Source organism: Homo sapiens, chromosome 10 (assembly GCF_000001405.40).
Source record: "Homo sapiens chromosome 10, GRCh38.p14 Primary Assembly".
Classification (NCBI taxonomy): Eukaryota; Metazoa; Chordata; class Mammalia; order Primates; family Hominidae; genus Homo; species Homo sapiens.
This window is the reverse complement of record NC_000010.11, coordinates 76,630,455-76,633,320: the sequence shown is the minus strand read 5'-3', so window position 1 is coordinate 76,633,320 and position 2,866 is coordinate 76,630,455. Positions and strand designations below refer to the sequence as shown.

General features: G+C 45.2%; 1 annotated feature.

Moving 5' to 3' along the window:
- Window positions 1,204-2,489: an enhancer, noted in NCBI's record as "VISTA enhancer hs748". NCBI's record gives its function as "enhancer in: forebrain[5/8]" and the evidence as "EXISTENCE:transgenic organism evidence [ECO:0001131][PMID:17130149]".

The following is a 2,866-nucleotide window of genomic DNA, read 5'->3' as shown; positions in this document are numbered from 1 at the left end:
TTCTTCTGTGTGCTCAATGCTTTTTTATTTTATCTTCATAACAACTCTGTGAAGTAAGCACTTTCATTTTCTCATTTTATAAAAGGGAAAACTGAGGATCGAAGTTACCCAGCATCCCTTAATAGGAAAATGGCCCGTCTGGAATTCAAACATGGGTTCTTCTGGATCTACAGCATTGCATTTGAGCACCCCAGTAACTTTCAGAAGGGCTCCCTGGAGTAGGTTGCAGCTGCAGCCTAGGCATTATTGAACTTTCTGCAAACACTTGTTCCATTTCTATTTCGGACAGAGGGTGAGAGGATATTGCCATAACTTCAGCCCTTAGAGGGGTAGTTTGGGTTTGTAGGACTAGTGTTTGTATTCATCTACCTTCCTACTTCCTGACTGTCATTTGCTGGAGAACCAGGAAATATACCTGCTGTTACTGCCATGGCATCACCCAGGTCCAGGAGAGGGCAGTATTGAGAGATGCCACCTTGTGCCCAGCCCACAGTGGAAAGGAAGAGGTGCTCTCTGGATGGTATAATTTATCATGCCCCACCACCTCCTCTGCCATCATGCCTAGGCTATGGCATTCTGCAGGATCCAAGAGGAAGGAGTATAAGCCGTAGAGACTCAGCTGGACGCTTTCCCAAGTGATGAGCGGAACCCAAATGGGACCAACAAATAGCACCGCACCAGGAGCCCAGTCAAACTCCCTCAAATGCAAAGACCCTTTGTTCTCTTGAAAACTTGCCTTTGTTGGTGAGGTTGCTATCGTTGTGGTCTGGGTAGGGGTGGGGGGAGGAAAATGCCGACATCTCCGGTTTTTAATATGGTAAATGTCAGTGTTTATGCCTGCACGGGGCTGGCCTAATTATCCCGTGTCCTCTAAAATCTTCCGCTGTAATTACCACTCACCGCAGTGACACCTACTGCTAAAGGGAGAGCCGTCAGCGGCAGCTCAGAGCCAGAGCACACTCAGCAAACTGCAAGCAACACCGGCAGCTGTTTCTGGTTTTGAAACGGTGGGAGCTTCATGAGCCATTTTGCCTGGTCCCTCTGGAGTAAATGACACCATGGTTGAAAAGTTGGAAATGTTTGTCAGGCCTGGAACAAAGCTGTGAATGAATACTACAGTAATTTGCTTTCCCACAATCCCCTCCTTTCTCTAAACAAGCCACAGAGGCAACTGATGGGTTAGAGTAACAAAAAAAAAGAAAAGAAAAGAGAGAGAGACTATTAGCACCAGTGGTATCTGGTATGTCATTGCTATTATGGGTATAATAGCCTTTGTGTTATCTACATATGTACTGTAATGCACAGAGAACTAGCTGAAGAGTTGAGACAGCTGAAGAGAATAGCTTTTTAGTAAAACGCTATGTTTAAGAGACTGATCCTCCTTTGGAAAAAAAAAAAATGCCCATTAGCACACATGGGCAGTACTGAATTGTGGTTGCAGTGTAGAGGGAATAGTTGGCCCAGCTTCTATGCCTGCAACTGTACAGAAGGAGGAGGAGAACAAGAAGAGGAAGGAGAAGGAGAAGGGGGAAAAATCAATAAATTCAGTGTAAGCAAAGTCACAGCAACCTTTAAAATAATAAGACAAATCCATTTATTTCACAAATGTCTTCATTTCCAAATGCCATTGTTTGGGGCACTGTGCTGTCATTGTCCATGACATTTTCAAAAACTTGGCTCTTAATCATTTAGGTGTAGCTGGAGTTCTCCTGCAACAGCCAAGTTAAAAGATTATACATTCACCCCACTGCTCTGGCAGGGAAGAACAACTTTAACAGCCTTATCCTGTGGGGTGAAGGAGGGAGGCTGGTGGTGGGGGAAGAGGCTTGGAGAAAGACAAGGCTTAAATATGGACAGAAAAGCTCAGCTGTATTGCTATATACAATGAAAAGTAATTACAGAGAAAAATGAAAGCTGTTTCTTGCTGTTAGCAGGAAGAATAAGAGAATTCTGTACCTTTTTAAAGCTCTGAGTCCATTTTGATGTAATTGGTTCTGGAATTATTTATGACATTAATTGCTGCGCTATCGACTGCCTGTCAGTGGCCCTGGCAGTTAGTCCATCTTTCTTAGCAGAGACAGCCTGCTCAGCCCAAACTAGACTGACAAGCTAATTATACCCATCTTCCCCTTCAATGACAAATGCTGCTCATCGGAAACCTTTCTAGAAATAAGCTCTCATTCTTTTCCCTTTTTCCTGATCCAGACATAACGGATATCTCAAGGTGCAGATCACAGCTAAAACTCAGCTCGCAGGGCTATTAGCTCTGAACATCTCACTTGAGCCAAAAAACCTAAGCATCTTATGTTATCAAACTGTATGTCATTCCCCGATGCTAGTTTTCAGGGATGAGCAGGGGCCCGGCCTGTCAGTCAGAACAGGGCAGAGAGAGCCAAGCTGATGGAATTAGCCAAGCTCTTCTTAACTGTCCACGGACCTGACTCAGGTGATGATAAGAAGGCTGGGGAAATGCCTTCTGTGCTTTGCACAGCTGCTGCTCTTGGGGGCGTTTGGGGGATGCTCGATGCAGGGGCCCACTTTGGGGAGGCCAAGTGGGGAGCTCCTCTGTCCACCATGCAGCTTTATCCAAGAGCCCCCTGGTGATTGAAGTATACGAATGATTCCTGTGTTTAAGGCTTTCATTGCATGAAACTTTAGTAGATCATTTTGTGGGCATGACATGCCATCAAGCATGGCTTTGTAAAGCAGGCATCCCTGTATGTGGGACACTAGAAAGAGGCACACAAGAAGAAATGATGCGATTCTCTTGTTGAAGGAGCTTGCAGGCTAGTTTGGAAGACAAGGCATGCACATAAACAGATGTGTACAAGAATGATGAAAAGTGGCCAGGCGCGTGGCTCATGCC